Raw genomic sequence first — 18,532 nt, 5'->3', positions numbered from 1 at the left:
TGATACAAACTTCCAAAACTGAAAAACAAAGAGGAAAAAGACTGAAACAGAACAGAATATTCAAGAACTGTGGGACAACTTCAAACTGTGTAATGGGAATATCAGAAGGAAAAGAAAGAAATAAAAGAAAAGAAGCAATATTTGAAGCAATAATAACTGAGAATTTCCCCCAAGTTAATATCAGACACCAAACCACAGATCCAGGAAACTCTGAGAACACCAACCAAGATGAACGCACGAAAAACTACACGTAGACATATTGTATCCGAACTTCAGAAAATAAAAGATAAAGACAAAATCTTGAAAGAAGCCAGAGGGGAAAAACACCTTATCTTTAGAGGAGCAAAGATTAGAATTATATCTGACTGCTCTTCAGAAGTCATCCAAGCAAGAAGAAAGTAGCATGAAATATTTAAAGTGTTAAGAGAAAAAAGCCCTCCAACCTAGGATTCTATACTCTGTGAAAGTATCCTTTAAAAATGAAGGAGAATTTTTATCAGATTTTATCTGATTTTTATCAAACAAAAATTCAGGAAATTTGTTGCTAGTAGACCTACCTTGCACGAAATATTCAAAGAAGTTCTTCAGAGAGAAGGAAAATGATATAGAAGCTCAGATCTATATAAAGAAAGAAGGAGCATCAGAGAATAAATGAAGGTAAAATAAAAACTTCTATTTTTCTTAGTCTTAATTGATCCAACAAATAACAGTATGTTTAAAATAATAGCAGCAATATATTCAGACATAGGTGAGATAGATAGATAGATGACAGATAGATGATAGATTTGCTTTTATACAAGTGAAATGAGTGACAGGGATGATGCAAGGGATAAGAGGGACTTTGGGTGACTGTGATGTGTCCTTGTAGGTTCATCAGTGGTAATAAATGTACCACTGTGGTGTAGGATGTCTATAGTGAAGGAGATTGGAGGGCAGTGGTGTTAGAGGGGAACTCTCTGTATTTTGCGCTCAATTTTGCTGTCAACCTAAAACTCTCTGTTACTAAATTTTAAAATTATACTTTTGAAAGATGCATGCAAAGTGAAATGAAGACAAATTAGATTTTTTTGTATATAAACATCAGCTTAGGAAATTTGTATGGAAACTGGTGACTTTCCATAGCTCCAAACAAGTAACATCACAATTTGCTCAACAGAACGACCTTGTTCTACAAATCTATGAATATTATTAAAATAAAGAGAGTAATAAACTTCCATGTCACACTATACTGCAAAAAAATAAAAGTTTAGGTATCATTTCTATATACTTTGGAATTTTGTTAGGAATGTCTATAACTGTCAAAATAAATTAATACATTTTGAGTAGAGAAAATCTTTGGTTTTTAATATTAAGTTTCTTGGGGCATATTTAGATGTCGAAAATCTGGAATTGAAGCAGAGTTCCTTGTCATTCATAAGTTTCTGCTGTAATTTATTTGAGTGACACTGCTCTTTTTCTCTTTTCCCTAAAGCAAAAATAATGCCATGATGTTCAGTTTGGCTGCTCAAGCTGATTGACGCTGAGTAAATTGTCTCTGAATAAGATGAAAATGTAAATCTTTTTGAAGAAAATAGCAATATAAAAGCTCCTGTGTTTCCCTTTTTCTTTTAAATTGCAGCTTGCAGAGACACTACCTAAATCACATTTCTTTCCTGCCTGTCACAAAAGAATCCATTAGCTTGGTCCCCACATCAGAATCTTAATCCAGCAAAGACTAACTACATGAATTGACCACTGAACAGGAAGCCTACAGCTTTTTATAAACTCAGCCAGGACTCTGTCTTCATGTCATACCAGCAAAATATTCACCCACCCCACATCCCACACCACAGTCGTACATTTGCTACAATTGACGAACCTACATGAACACTCAGAACCACCCAAAGTCCCTCTCATCCCTCCTATCATTCCTGTCACGCATTTCACTAGCATAAAAGCAAATCAGAAGGGAATCACCTTTCCGCCATTTTTTTTTCAACTTAGTATTAAGTTTATCAAATAGTATTACCACCAGATGGTATCTACCAGTAGTAGAACCACTGTGGTACATCACCAAGCATCAGCAATTATCATTTCATGACCAATCTTCTTTCATCTGTATCCTCACCCCTTTCCCATATTTTTTCATAACAAATCCTCAACATCATATTGTTTCATCCATAAACATTTCAGCATTATTTCCAAAAAATAAAGACTCCTTTTTAAAAGACATAATAATACAATTATCACCCCTTAAAGTAATTAACTATAATTGCCTATCATTATAAATCTTCAGTTAATGCTCAAATTTCTAAATGGCTCATAAATATTACATAATGTATTTTACAGTTAGTTTGAATCAAGATCCAAAGAAGGTTCACACATTGTAATTGGTTGATAGATCTCCTAAAGTCTGTTTTCATCTCTGTGTTTCCTGCCCCTCCCCAATTTCCACCCCTGCCTTTATTTGTTAATGCAAATGTGTTTTGTCTTATAAATTTTCCTACAGTCTGGGCTTTGTTGATTGTATTCACATCACATTGTTTAATGTGTTACTCTATTTTCTTTTTCATAAAATACGCATTTTTATTTTTAAAAAGAATGAAAGGATTGATCAAATTCAGATTTTATTTTTTTTTTTGAAAGATCACTTCCTAGGTAGTTGTGTGCTCTGTCTAGAGGCACATAATGTCCCATTTTTTTTTCTCTTTTTGTGACATTAGCAGCCTTTGATGGTCAATTCTTAGATCCATTGACTCATTAGGGGTTTCTTCACTTATAGCTGGGATAGTCCTATAAAAAGCTAATTCCTTTTAATCAATTTTTGTTACCCCGTGGTACAATTTTTATAGGAAACACAGAACAAATGCTTAGTTCTTTCCCTTTACTAGCTTTCAAAATGATTATTTTTGCATTAGCATCCTTCATCTGTGACCCATTAGTGGTGTTTTTCTTTTTTTAGCATTACTATGGAGTAAGGGTTTTAAACATATTTGATATGTTTTAGTCCATTGCAATTATCCTTTTTAATGCTCAAATTGCCCCATCCTTGTGATGGGAATCTCTTCAAGGAATATCTTCTGAATCCTTCTGATGTGATCCTAGTAGTCTTTGATAGTGTCCTTGCTATCTGGTATGACAAGATATAAATTTCTGCTGCAGACCTAGAAGCATCCATTGCATCAAGGAACCCTGGTTTCTTCTGATGGGAAATGATATTATTTCAGCATCACAGTCTGGGCTTAAGGGTGCTCGTCGTTTGTGGTTTGTTATTGTTTCTAGGCCATTTCAATGGACAGATCTAGGAAGTGTGTGTGTGTGTGTGTGTGTGTAAATTAAACACTTTTTGAGTTCAAATTCATATTTACAATTTGAATTCAGGACTACAAGGTTAATTAACCTATATTTTAACTGGATTTCCTTTCTTTCATGCCAAATTTCCCATTCTCAAAACACCAGAAAATCCTGTTATTTTTAGTAAAAAGCAACAACAAAGGGACTCTCTGACACTTGGTATTTCAAGAGAAATGAAATATTCAGGTGAAACAGGAAAAATGGTTTTCATCCATACTAATTATTGCCACTGATTAAATGGAAAGATGATAAATTAGCTTCTCATTCAAGGAGAAGCTAATGCTTAGAAACTAAAATGTACTTTGTACCCCTAGATTAAAGATTCAATATAAGTGGAGGTTGCTCTATGGTGAAAGAGAATAGATGAGTCTATACTTGTTAAGACATTCGAAAACACTTTTCCAAGTTATATTAGAGGCTCATAGGTGTCTGTATTGAGAAAAATAAACACTTTCAATCACTCCTTTGCAGCCCTCCATAACTCAGGCTCTGTGAAAAATGTTTTGTTTCTAGACCTAGATACCCCTGGCGTGTTTCATTCATATGGGATGACTCCGGGGCATGTTCAACCCAATTGTTCCAAACCCATGGAAATCTGCAAGTGACAAAGAAAATAAGATCCCAGTAGAGTAAGTCAGGTTTATTTTCTTGAAAGTGCCCTGTAGTATAGTTTGAAGTCAGGTAGTGTGATGCCTCCAGCTTTGTTCTTTTGGCTTAGGATTGACTTGGCGATGCGGGCTCTTTTTTGGTTCCATATGAACTTCAAAGTAGTTTTTTCCAATTCTGTGAAGAAAGGCATTGGTAGCTTGATGGGGATGGCATTGAATCTGTAAATTACCTTGGGCAGTATGGCCATTTTCACGATATTGATTCTTCCTACCCATGAGCATGGAATGTTCTTCCATTTGTTTGTATCCTCTTTTATTTCCTTGAGCAGTGGTTTGTAGTTCTCCTTGAAGAGGTCCTTCACATCCCTTGTAAGTTGGATTCCTAGGTATTTTATTCTCTTTGAAGCAATTGTGAATGGGAGTTCACTCATGATTTGGCTCTCTGTTTGTCTGTTGTTGGTGTATAAGAATGCTTGTGATTTTTGTACATTGATTTTGTATCCTGAGACTTTGCTGAAGTTGCTTAGTGGGTGAAGGACATGAACAGACACTTCTCAAAAGAAGACATTTATGCAGCCAAAAAACACATGAAAAAATGCTCATCATCACTGGCCATCAGAGAAATGCAAATCAAAACCACAATGAGATACCCATCTCACACCAGTTAGAATGGCAATCATTAAAAAGTCAGGAAACAACAGGTGCTGGAGAGGATGTGGAGAAATAGGAACACTTTTACACTGTTGGTGGGACTGTAAACTAGTTCAACCATTGTGGAAGTCAGTGTGGCGATTCCTCAGGGATCTAGAACTAGAAATACCATTTGACCCAGCCATCCCATTACTGGGTATATACCCAAAGGACTATAAATCATGCTGCTATAAAGACACATGCACACGTATGTTTATTGTGGCATTATTCACAATAGCAAAGACTTGGAACCAACCCAAATGTCCAACGATGATAGACTGGATTAAGAAAATGTGGCACATATACACCATGGAATACTATGCAGCCATAAAAAATGATGAGTTCATGTCCTTTGTAGGGACATGGATGAAATTGGAAATCATCATTCTCAGTAAACTATCGCAAGAACAAAAAACCAAACACCGAATATTCTCACTCATAGGTGGGAATTGAACAGTGAGATCACATGGACACAGGAAGGGGAACATCACACTCTGGGGACTGTTGTGGGGTGGGGGGAGGGGGGAGGGATAGCATTGGGAGATATATCTAATGCTGGATGACAAGTTAGTGGGTGCAGCGCACCAGCATGGCACATGTATACATATGTAACTAACCTGTACAATGTGCACAGGTACCCTAAAACTTAAAGTATAATAATAAAAGAAAGAAAAACTTAAAAAAAAAAAAAAAAGAAAGAAAGTGCCCTGCACTTTCAGCCTGTCCCATCAGTAGACACTAGAGAGGCCAATCCATTTTAAGGCTCATCAGAGCTCTGAAATGAGCCACCATATAAATAAGGATAAACCCAGTCTCATTTCTGAGAGCCCTTAGAACATTTCCATATCTCCTCATAATCATATAAGTAACTGTCATGCAAAGTGAAAATGTGACAGTAGATCTTCAAGGAAATGCTGTGGCCACACACAGGAGAGAAACAGGATCAGAGGGATGCAAGAGAGCTCCATGGGACAGGAGCATAATTTTAGGGGAACTCATTCATTCATTTATTCAACTGCTTATTGAATGCCCACCCACTCACTCTGTACCTTGATACTGTCTCACAGACCCAAATACATCTGGTTTCAAATCCTGGAGCAAGCCTACTACGTTTGTGGCCTTTGGCAAGTTACTAAGCCTCTGTGCCCTAATTTTTCCATCTGCACAATCAGGCACTAATGCCTGTCTCAAAGAGTTTCTGAAGTTAAATAGGGAAAAGACCATATAAATTGCCTAGCACAGTGCCTGTCTCACAGTAGACCCAAATAAATCTGGTTTCAAATCCTGGAGCAAGCCCACTACGTTTGTGGCCTTTGGCAAGTTACTAAGCCTCTGTGCCCTAATTTTTCCAACTGCATAATCAGGCACTAATGCCTGTCTCGAAGAGTTTCTGGAGTTAAATAGGGAAAAGACCATATAAATTGCCTAGCACAGTGCCTGGCAGATACACAGCATTGCAGGAAACTTGCCTTGCCTACCCAAAGAGCTTCACTTTTCTCTGTTAGAGGAGAGAAGAAGGAGAGAGAGAGGGAAGGTGAGAGGGTAGAGGACTTGAGAGATGAGGATGTAAAGGGTTGTTGCAGGGAACCAGAAAATAAGCAGGCAGACTCAAGTGAAATAATTGTCTAGAGGCACTGAAAAGCCAGCACAAAAAGTTTTGGTCAATGGGTTTGTTTTTAGGTATTTGAACAGGGAGGTGGACAGTGGAGGTTTTCCCAGCTCACTTAATTTTGCATAGATAACTTGGTGAATCAGAATTTCTTAATTGACAGAAAGTCTCCCCATTCGTGTTTGCAGGAGAGAGTGAGTGGGGTGGGGGTAAGGCAGGTAAGGAGAATCTGTTAAAATGTGAGATTCACCTCTGAGAATAATCATTTTTCTTCTCCAGTGGGAAGTGAGTTATCAAATTTAAGAACAACTTCTCTGAAAGAAAATTCGCCTCTGCTCTTTCCCACACCCTTACCCTTATTATTTGGCTTTGCAAGCATCCCCACGATATAGGCTTATAAATTTAGTTTATCTCTCCCTTAGCCTGGTCTCCCTTTATTATACCACTTTACTGCTTCTTTGGGGCTGAGACTCTTAAAATTTGGGTCAAATGTTCCATTAAGTTAACCACTTTAGAATACCAATAACACTTCTGCAGCACTTTTCATCTTCATAGTGGTTCACAAACATCTCCTTCTTCACTAATGAAGATGAGTCGAATATCTTATAGCATCTAAAACCAAAGCTATTTAATCATTGTCTGGTGTGGGAAAGTGAGACAAAATGCAAGACCAACAAAAAAGTATATTACATTTCAAACTTGCTGATTCAAACTTTTGAAAAATTCTTTGAATATGCAGGCAGAACTTATGCCACAAAACCCTAGTTTTTGTAATGAAAATGGCCATAAGCATAATAGCAACATTGCAGGGGTATTTTTAGCTCTTCATATTTTATAGAGTGCTTTTCAGTTCATTATTTCATTTGATCTTCATGAAAACCCATGAGAAGAAAAGGAATTATTATTCACATATTTTAGACAAGGCCTATTGTGGTTAATTCACATCCTCAAGTTTCCAGTTACTAAAGATTTGTGCTGAGACTAGAACCCCAAACTTCACGCTCCAAGTCCGAAGTTCTTTCCATGAGGTTTCCTGCCTGTGCTGTGCAGTAACTGGAGTTTCCACTGGGGCCCCTCAAAGGACGGGGGAATGGAGCAGGATGTGTGCGTTCCCTTCTCTTTCAACTAGAGCAGCTCCACAAGTATATTGCATTTGGGGCTTCCACATGGATTTCTCCAGTTCAGTTTTATTGCACAGAGCATGCAGCATCTCTTGTACTGTTCATGATCCAGCTGGACTGTGAGCTGCATTCTGAAATTATTCAACAGGCCTGCAAAGCTCCATTAATGGCAGGGGCAGTTGCATACTATAATCTCTCCCCCTTGCCTGCCCACAACCTTGCATCTTTAACACCAGCTAGCTGTTCTGGGCCAGTAGAGCCATCCGATGGCCTTTGGATGCACCAACTCTTCCTTGACTTTCTTTTCTTCTATGTGAGGGATAGCGTGTTTCCTCTTTTACCACTGGACATTTTTACCTTTGAGGGTCTCTGATTCATCACAGAGGCCCAGGGGGTTCTTCCAGATCAGAACCATCTTGCCATGGCGATGCTGGTGCCTAACACACTTGTGCAGCCAGCGCTGTTGAAGACACAAACACTCATACACTCATTCTTTAGCAAATTATTCCATTCCTAAAGAGATGCTCTATGTCTTCCTTTGTCTTCTTTCTTCTCCTTTGCACTCTTCATTTTCCCTCTCTTGTGTCTTTCCATGAGCATAAAACAATCAGAACATAGATGACAAGCACAATGCCAGGTACTCAGTATCTGAAAAAATTGAAGCCATTACTTCTGAAGGGAAATTAAGCAAGATAAATATCAAGTAGCAAGTGACGACATTTTTTAAAGAGCCTTCAGGTACAGAATCATCGCAAGTCGTCAGTCATCTATAATCACTCTCTTTTTACAAGCATGCCTTGAAAACTCATTTCTCCTTTTCATCCTTCAAAATTCAGCTCAAATGTCACTTCCTGCAAATGTTTTACTGACATCTCTGGACAGGCTCCATCACCCCTTCTGATGTCTCCTCCAGAACTTTGAACACACCTTTTACTGTAGCACTTTACACATTATATTTATTAGAATTGCTTATTTATGTGTCTGTGTCTTACACTAAACTAAGAATTGGTTTTTGGTTTGCTTTGCTTCATCCTTTTTTTCAAGCAGTTAATATACAGCCTAGCTGAGCACATTGCGGATGTACAATTTTTTATTGTTGTTGATGAATGTGAATTTAGTTAACTAAATGATCACCCAGGATTCAAGAAAAAACAAGCTCATTCTTACTCATTTTAATTCTATTTTTGGAATAGAATTGCTTTCTACTGTTCTTCACTGAAATTTGAAGTGTATTTTTTTTTTTTTTTGCTGTCATATGAGTTGTATAGATTTTGCTGACAATCTTAAGAATCTTAATTTATAAATTGTTTCTGTGGAAAAATACATTTTACCTTCTAAAATGTTCAAGCATACACAAAGAAAAAAGTGGAGTTTTGTCCATAACTAGTATATCACATTTTCCAATATCTCACATATACTATGAAGGTGGGAGGGAAAATCTCAGTACTTTGCTTTTCATATAAAAGCCCCTCTCTCTCTCTAATTCTGTCTTCCTTTTCCCTGATGTCTGCCTTGTCCCTGCCCCCGGATCTTTACCTCATTTAGAGAATTCATCTCATTCTCTTCATTCTTCCAAGGTTTACAGTTTGGTTTTCTGTTGTATACTTTGTGGTCTACCTTGAATCTGTTATTCACCTATTTTCCCCTGTTGAATCCAGTTGTTAGAGGATGAGCACTATGCACCTTTCATTGTTGATTTTTCACAATGGAATTTTGAAGTACAATATTGAAATATGGGGGATATTTTGGTTCCAGATAGGAATAGCTCCTAGTTCCTCATCATTTGCCATCTGAGCACAAAGCAGACAAGGTCCAAATTTCAGCCTTCACACTCTCTTTTCTCTCTTTCCCATCTTGCATTCTTTTCTCCAGAGATGAAGAGAAATGACATAATCAGGTCAATAAGACATTCGTTTTCATCTTGATTGCTCTTGTCTGGGTGCTTAATTATGAGATGTCAATTATTCAACACTCTAAAGAGCAGTCTTCTGAGCACAAAACGTTTTAGTCGTCTGGTATTAAAAATGCTTGTTTTCTGCTTTTAGGCTACAGTGGTGGCTGTGTTGCCATGCGAGGAAGGCATCCACTTGGTCGCTGGGAAGTGAAGCACTGTCGGCACTTTAAGGCAATGTCCTTGTGCAAGCAGCCAGTTGAAAATCAGGAAAAAGCAGAGTATGAAGAGAGATGGCCCTTTCACCCCTGCTATTTGGACTGGGAGTCAGAGCCTGGTCTGGCCAGTTGCTTCAAGGTGATACCAAGGTTACATGGACATTCTTAACAGGACCAACACTATTTTAATTTGATCCATGTATCCCAAATTCCTTTATTCCGGGGCCCTTTTTTTTTCCAGAACAGTGCCTGACAGACAGCAGGTGCTTAATCAACATTTGTTGCCTGTCTCTATCCTTTCAATCATATTCCAAATAATTTTTAAGTAAAAAAAATTGACACATCCTGGTGATATTGAAGGCTTCCTCATGAAGATTGATATCTGTTAAGCAGAAATACCAGGCACAGGGCCAGGCACAGTGACTCACGCCTGTAATCCCAGCACTTTGGGAGGCCGAGGCAGGCGGCTCACTTGAAGTCAGGAGTTCCAGACCAGCCTGGCCAACATGGTGAAATCCCATCTCTACTAAAAATACAAAAAGTAGCCAGGCATGGTGGCATGCACCTGTAGTCCCAGCTACTTAGGAGGCTGAGACAGGAGAATGGCTCGAACCCGGGAGGCAGAGGTTGCAGTGAGCCGAGACTGCGCCATAGCACTCCATCCTGGGTGACACAGCGAGTCTCTATATCAAAAAAAAAAAAAAAGGAAAGAAAAGAAATAGCATGCGCTAATATTAATACCTGGAAGGAGGGCACCATGCTCTGGTTATCACTCCTGGGGGAGGACTCTAAACACCTAACCAGTTTCTGCGTAAGTTCCTAGCTCTGACAGGAGGTTTTGCACAAACTTGGCTGCCAGAGTATGAATCTGGTGAGACAGAATTCCCACACAACAAGATGGGCAAAGTAACTTTATTACAGGTTGAGTACTCCTTTTCTGAAATGCTTGGAACCAGAAGTGCTTTAGATTTCAGATTTGTTTTTTTTAATATTTGCATCGCACTTACCAGTTGAGCATCCCAAATCTGAAAATTCAAACTCCAAAATGCTCTAATGAGCATTTCCTTTGAGCATCTTGTCACCGCTCAAAAAGTTTTGCATTTTGGAGCATTTTGGAGCTTGGATTTTTGGATTTGGGATGCTCAACTTGTATTCACAGATAGGCAGCAAGAAGCAACCGAAGTCTAGGATCCATGGTGAGCCATTCCCCCAAGGCTCAGGAAAGCACCCCCAGGAAGATGGAATCTTGTCTGCACATGCCCCACTTTGCATGACAGCTGAGGGCTCCCCAAAGCGCTTCTCTCGGGGTTTTATATCCCAGGTGCCACCTGAATCACTGAGCAAAAGTATTACAAGACATCCTATTCTAGGAGGGATAAGGACAGTTCCTCCTTATCTCAGGACGTTGCACTCTTGGTACACTCTGCCTGAGAATTGCCAAGAAAAAGAGGAAGAGCTGGGTCAGCAAGGGTCATCTGGGGACCTGTCCTCCTGCAATATTGAGGCCCCAGTCAATATTGTTCATACACTAAGTGAAGGAGGTAGACACTCAGAGGGTGTTAAATGGTATAATTTCATATTGTTTGTAAACCAACAAATAAAGTTTTTATTATTGAATGATACAATATTACTAATAAGGATAGCTTTTGCAGCTTGCCAGACATGTGAAGATCAAACAAATTGATGCATACGGTTGATTTGTATGTGTATATATGTGTGTGTGTATGTATGTGTGTGTATATATAAGTGAAGACATTTCTATTTTTAAAATCAGCTTTAGATCCTACATTTAAATTAGTTCCTACAATCTTGTCAGAAACACATTTTTTGAAATATGATTTTTAAAAATGTTTGGTGGTTTTGTCTTGGTTTATTTTACAAATAGGGGTTCACTAAATCTTGGGGAAAAGTTCCCCAGCATCTCTGCACAGGCAGAGCAGAATGAAGACAGACTCTATCTCTGGAACTGTTGTAGCTCGTAGATGGCATGAAGCAGCTGTGAATGTGCTCGATTTAAATTGTACACATGTATAATCCTACATTACATTCATAGAATAATAGGCCCAAAAGTGGCCTCGCCCATTAATAAGTTAAACCTTAGAGATGAGTAAACTGGGGCCTGTGAAATGTAGTGATTTGCCCAAGATCACGATTATTTATTGACAGAGTTGGAATAAATGCCTGGTTTAGGACTTCTGGTCTGGTGCCTTTTCTACTATATATCACCCTGATATGTCAACAAATGCATGGTGTGTGTGATAGGCATGGTGGTAGGATTTATGAGCTTATAGTGATTCGGGAAGAGGTTCCCAGAGGAGGCAAGTTTTGACATATAATTTAAAAGATGGAAAGGTTGTGCTGTGGTCCACAGGACTTGGAAAGCTATTCATTCTGGTCTCAGCAAGTAAGAGCCTGGTGAGGGCTGGCCACAGGGTGTACCTGTCTGGCATCAGAGGCTCAGGCTTAGTGCCAGGCAGTTAAAAATAAGAAGGGTAAGAGGACTGGGATTGCAAGCTCTGGGTCTTCAGTCCCTTTCCCCAATCTTAAATAAAGCCAACAGAAGACCTTCCATTCATCTGGCTTCTTCCTGCCACCATGAAGACAGCTGAGAAGCAGCAGAGATTTTAGGCACAGCTGAACCACTGCACTGCCAGTTCAACTAAGATCCAAAGACTCTAGAAATAGAGCTACCCTAGGTCCCAGGTCTAATTTCTCATTTCTTGCCCTGGGTCAGCCAGAGTAATGATCAATCTGCTAATTCTAATCTGTCAGAAGGCAATCTGGTGGGATGGAAGTTTATGGACTCTGGAAGCAAGGTATTGTAGGTCTAATTCTAGCTCTGCCAGTTTATAGCTGTGTGACCTAAAATTCTTAACCTCTCTTGGCCTGACTTTATTTATCTCTTGACAAATATTTACTGAGGGACAAGTACATGCCAGTCACAGAAGATTTAGGGTGAAAAAAAATTCCTCAAAAAGCTCATTTATAAAACTGAGTTTATTATATTCTCCTCAGAAATTTGTTATGAGGATAAAAGGAACTAATAGTTTTATGATGACTAGGCACATTCTAATTCAGTAAATATTACTTCCTCCCACTAGATCAAGCTCTTTATAAATAATAATGATGATTATGTTAATATTACTGTTACTTTCTTGAACAGAGTTTAACAACCTGACTTTATCTATAACAATGTTAATTTATTTTCTTTTACTATACAGGTATTTCATAGTGAAAAAGTTCTGATGAAAAGAACATGGAGAGAAGCTGAAGCATTTTGCGAAGAATTTGGAGCTCATCTTGCAAGCTTTGCCCATATTGAGGAAGAGAATTTTGTGAATGAGCTCTTACATTCAAAATTTAATTGGTAAATACTTGTTAATTATGAAAAATTACAGTCAAATATTCTATCTCCCAGTAATGGCTTCTGAGGGGTGAGTATCCCAAGTAGTTGTTTAAAATTCCCATATTTGTATTATGCCCAAAGCCAAGAAAAATAAATATACATATAGTTTTATGTTTATCTTGTACCAGGTTCTCATTTCATAAAACAAAGAACAAAGTGACAATTGTTTAGATATTTGAAATCTTTTCTTTGTGCCTCAAGTCAGAACTGTAGAGCTTTCCTGCCAAACTCAGGAATTATCTACCCCAATGGTTTTCAAAGTGTTGTGGAAGGATCCCAAGAATCCTGGAACCCCAGGAGTATGAGAGGGCCACGTAGGCAGAGCTCCTAGTTCCTTCCACGCCTCACCAGAGCGGCTCTGACCAGCTCCACCGCTAATTATTTTGTATATAATTGGAGCCTATGTAAGATTTTGTTTGGAAAAAAAAAAAAAAAGAGTCCCAGTAATTTTTTTTTTAATTCCAACCCAACCTCCTAAGTTTTCATTTGAGGAAACAAGCTTTCCCTTATCTGTATCCATCTTGCAAGTTTACAGAACCTTGAATTCAGTGGAGTTAGAAACTCAAGCTTAAATTGTAAGAACTCTAAACCGTCTTGTGCTACCTCCCACCACATACCGTGGTCATCTGCTGTCTGCATAATTCCTTCCAGTTTCAGAATGCTTCTTATTTGGGAGAAAGCCCATTCCATTGCAGAAGCCTGGTTTCAAAGAGTAGTTTTCTAATAAGCCAGAAATCTGCCTCCCCTCAGTTTGAGCTAGAGCAAATACAGATCAAATCTACTCTATTTTCAAATATTTGAAGACAGTCATCTTGTCTCCTTCCTGTGAGCCCCCCACCCCCGAGTTTGGCCTCTCACTTTGGAATGTTCTTGTCAGTCAGCCTGCATTGTGAGAGTATCTTCTGTGGAAGGGGCACAGTTACATGCATAGCTGGTTGGATAATTCAATAGACATGACAAACAAGATCCTGCCTCTGAGGATGTTGTGATCATCACACCTCCATGACTCTGTATATTTATTTAATGAAAACAACCATAATAATAGGTACTCTGCTTCAGGCTCTGGAAATCTAGAGTCTCAATGAAACACTGGCCTGAATCCCAGAGAAAAATCCTGTACTATTTTTTCAGGAAAATTCTGGCCTTTCCCACAAGTTTCCTTGTAGGACATTCCCATAAAAAGATTAACATGCAACATCTATCAGATTATTCATCTTCCACATCTACAGCAATGACCTTAAAGCTGGGAGTTTTTGACATCTCTCCATGTGAGTCTTGTGCAGCATTCTGCAGGGGAGGAAGGAGATTTTATGGTCAAATATGTTTGCAAAACAATGTACAATCTTGGAGATTTGCCATGTACATTAGCATCGTAAAGGGTTCTAGAAGGAAGCACTTTCTTTGACCACAATTCCCTTTTTTAAGAACACTTATTGACATCCCACAGAACTGCTAGTCCCTACGGGAAATGCTGACATGAGGCCATGACTCAGGAACCTGGCTGCTCATCACACTTGGTCGGGACACCTTTTAATACAGAGCTTTCTGGCCTCACACCAGAGCTGCTGAGTCAGACTCTCTGAGTCTGAAGAAAAGTTTAAGAAGCTTTCTGGCTAATTGGATTATCAGCCAGGTGTGAGGCCGCAAATCCAAGGGATAGGTGATAGTCTCCATTGTTCAAAGTTACATTTTGCTTCATTACTTTAGCTTCCTTTAAAACATATTTGCATATTCTGTCCTTGCATTTTAGTGAGGTTTGCCATATGACAACCACACACACACTGCTTCCCAGTTTGCTTTAAGATCAAATGTCACTGTCATTTCTGTTTATGTAAGTTCTCATGCTTGAAATGTCTAGCAGAATTTAGTCCCAAGCTAAATCATGGATCTTCAATATCTGATCACAAAAGTCATATAATATGAGCCAGGCACAGTGGGTCACAGCACTTTGGGACACCAAGGTGGGAGGAACACTTAAGGCCAGGAATTCAAGATCAGCCTAGGCAGCATAGTGAGACTCAGTTTCTACAAAAAAATTTTTCAAAATTAGCTGGGTGTGGTGGCCACACCTGTAGTCCCAGCAAAACCTAGTTCAAAGTTACAGTGAGGTATGATTGTGCCACTGCACTCCAGCCTGGGCAACAGAGCGAGAACCGTCTTTAAATAAAATATTTAAAAATTCTTGACTGGGTGCAGTGACCCACACCTGTAATCCCAGCACTTTGAGAGGCCAAGGCAGATTGCTTGAGCCCAGGAGTTAGAGAACAGCCTGGGCAACATGGTGAAACCCCATCTCTACCAAAAAGTACAAAAAAATTAGCCAGGTGTAGTGGCACACATCTGTAGTCCCAGCTACTCAGGAGACTGAGGTGGGAGTATCAATTGAGCCTGGGAAGAGGAGGTTGCAGTGAGCCAAGATTGTGTGCTACTATACTCCAACCTGGGCGACAGTGTGACCCTGTCTCAAAAAAAAAATTATCAATAACTGTGTATGTTTCAGTTTATTCCCAGACTACCAGAGAATTCAGTCAAATCTGATGCTTAATTATAGCAAACATACCAGATCTCATAGTTAGCAGGTATAACAGGTATGCTGCTTTTCCTTCCTATGGCACTGCTTTTCTATTTCTATTTTATTAATCAGACACACACACACACACACACACACACACGTATGCACATACATGTGTGTTTATTAAATATTGTACAATTTCAGGAAACTGATGAAGAGAAAGTAAATACCATTTCATCTTCCAGGAGCCAGTATATAGCAGGAAAGACATAGAACTCTGAATTCAGTGAGGAAAGAAAAAGGTCACAACACCAGGAGAGTGACATGGATTTTCAGCCTATGCCATCGAGATTAATGTGCTTGGCTTAAACTGAAGGTGGCCATTCTCACCTTCTCCCAGCCTTAAATGAAAGTTAGTATCATCATGACAATGTCCAACCGGGCATCAGTGATCTCTTGGATTTCTAAGCTGAATTTGAATTTAATTTGTGTCATCCAGGCAGAGTAGCTGACATATCCGAGAAGGAATTCCTTGCTTCTCTGCACAAAGGAAAATAAAGTATCTGTCCTGACATCTGAATATTTTAAATCTTTGATTCTTCAAAATTATTCTCAGAAAATTATCTTAGTGAGATGGTTCATTGCACAGGTAGGCTTTATTACTCGATTTATTGAGTATTCTGTGGACACATTTGTACTCTGCCTCATAGAAGGGAAGGTGATTCTCTGTGGAGCTTCTCACCAAGTATAAACCAATGGTGACAACTGAAGTTAATGAACCATGGCTCAGGGTGACTGGCTTTAGAATTATTTGTGTTGATATCTGAAAAAAACCCAAAACCTACTGTGTACCTTTTATTCAGTGAAGATGATGGTGGTTGACTTTCAGAGAATACATGAATGTTTAACAAAAGAACAACAAATCAAAGCATAGTAAAGTAGAATAAATAGTATAGTGAAGTAGCAAACACACAGTAAAGTAGTGAAAGGTCCTCTTGGCTAGAGATGTTCCAAAGTTTCTTACCAATTTTCTTTTCATGTGTTCTTGTCCTGACTGAAAGGCTTTGCTATTCCTGATGAGAAACTCATGTTCTCAATAAAAGCTGACTTTTACCCACCTGTATATCACCTGTGAGCAAACCACACAAACCAAGAGTAATAGAATGTGAGGCTTATTCTTCTCTCAGTTCATGTCACAGCACAGGGTTTTGCACATTTAAAATGTTCAATGCTTGTTGACTTGATCAATCCTGCCAGTAGCATCAGCTGTTTCCTGCATACATAAATATTTTAAAATATTTTTTCTTTTATTATTATTATACTTTAAGTTTTAGGGTACATGTGCACAATATGCAGGTTAGTTACATGTGTATACATGTGCCATGCTGGTATTTTTTGAACCTTTCACATAATGCTGTAAATTTGATGGGAAAGGCAAAGCTTTTGTTTCTTCTCTTTACAGGACAGAAGAAAGGCAGTTCTGGATTGGATTTAATAAAAGAAACCCACTGAATGCCGGCTCATGGGAGTGGTCTGATAGAACTCCTGTAAGTCTTTTCAAACTGGAGAAAAGGGATGGATTCAAAACAAGTGGGCCTGGGACCACTTGGTAAACCAACCAAGAGAACCTAGAAATGATGGCCAGAGCTCCCATGACAAAACTGCACCAGACCTTAGTACCAGGAGAATTATTTGGCAAGGTCCTGAGAAATCTTTGCTAGCCATATTGTTCTGAGGCCATTGTACAATTTCAGCCTGAAAAAGTATCAAAAACCTCCAAAAAGTCCCCCCAAACCATCTCCCATATGAAGTCTCTCTGGCAGAGAAGCAGCTATTCTTTAAAATAACACAAGACTCCCTTTACCCTATACCTCCCTATCCTGCATATCACCTGATTATCTGAGTATGGGAACCTTGTCCATGTCATAATGAAATGAAGATTATTTTGGAGAATGATTTTTCATTTATCTCACTCTGAAAGGACAGTAATGCAAGTTTTAGAAATATCACCTTCTAGAGCAAGTTATTCCAGAAGGAAAAAAAAAGTCTTGGTTTTCATTCATTCCCATACTTGCAAACCTCTATGAAGGACACAGAGAACTCACTATTGTATTTTTTTCCAGTTGCAATGGGTAATTCTCACATTTTTCTCAAAATGACAGGGAAAAAACTGAAGTAGTATCCTAGATTGAAGTGGGATCCATCCTACGGCACATGAAAAATCACATTATTCACTTTCACCTGTGAAATGGGGAGACTCCTAAGAGCCTGCAGTGAGAATTTAATGCAACTGCTGTTTATTGAGTCCTTATACTGTTCCAAGCGCTGAGCTGAATGCACTCCTACATGATCTCATTTCATCCTTACAATAACTCAGTGCCATGGGTATTAGAATGATTAAGTGGCTTGCCTAAAATATATAGGAGAGCCAGGATTTGCACACAGGTTGTCTGACTCCAAAGTCACAATGTTATAATATCTCATGATTGGCAAAATATCAGTAGCCAAACTTTGAAGTAGTAAAGAACAATAGAGAAAGCCCCGTACCAAGATGGTTTTCAAATTTATGTCAAGGAAGAGGTTTATAGAAGAGAGTAGGAAGAGATTTTAAAGGTCATTCAGCCCCACTAATCCATTTTTCTGATAAAGAAACCAAGGCTCAGAAAACAGAAAAGGCATAGCAGGGTCAACTTACTCCATAAATGGCAGCCACTACATGAGACAGCTGGGTGGTTCAAGTCAATGTAGCACTCGAAAAAGAAATGTGACACATAGAAGTTGAGAACACTTTCTTTTGTTTTAGTATAACAAACTCATTAGTAATAGGAGAGGAACAGACAATCTGGGTCAGAATAAATTAGATAAGGCCATGAAGCAGTGGCCGAGCTTCTCACTAATATCTGCTGGACAAAATGAATTCAAATCACACCATTTTCTGAACCTGAGGCTATATATATTTTAGATAGATGAATTATTACGTGACAGTGTACATGTTTGAGGAGGAATATAAAGGATTTTAAAACATCCTTTTTTTCCCCAAATTTTTACCCCAATTTTACTTGTGGTACATCCATTCTTCTGTGAGATAGTCATTAAATAATTGAGAAGGTTGATTCTTTAATACCCCCGTAATGTGAATTATAT

The 18,532-nt window shown here is 38.7% G+C and overlaps 1 protein-coding gene across 18 annotated transcripts in view; it reads left to right on the top strand.

Annotated features, from left to right (window-relative positions):
• The window catches only part of PLA2R1 (phospholipase A2 receptor 1), a 138,683-nt gene that overhangs the window by 65,851 nt on the left and 54,300 nt on the right, over positions 1-18,532 (top strand). For 17 of the 18 annotated variants that reach the window (XR_922892.4, XR_007071491.1, XR_001738672.3 and 14 more), the window contains 3 exons: positions 9,407-9,609; positions 12,692-12,837; positions 16,851-16,935. Coding sequence is in view for 11 of the 18 variants with exons in the window: in XM_047443729.1 (XP_047299685.1) it covers positions 9,407-9,609; positions 12,692-12,837; positions 16,851-16,935 (434 nt within the window). In the remaining 7 variants the exon portion in view is untranslated. The remainder of the gene's footprint in view (positions 1-9,406; positions 9,610-12,691; positions 12,838-16,850; positions 16,936-18,532) is intronic. The other variant, XR_007071494.1, reaches the window with a different exon arrangement.

Source organism: Homo sapiens, chromosome 2 (genome assembly GCF_000001405.40).
Source record: "Homo sapiens chromosome 2, GRCh38.p14 Primary Assembly".
In the NCBI taxonomy this organism is placed as follows: Eukaryota; Metazoa; Chordata; class Mammalia; order Primates; family Hominidae; genus Homo; species Homo sapiens.
The sequence above is the reverse complement of the archived record's forward strand: the minus strand, read 5'-3'. Positions and strand labels throughout refer to the sequence as shown.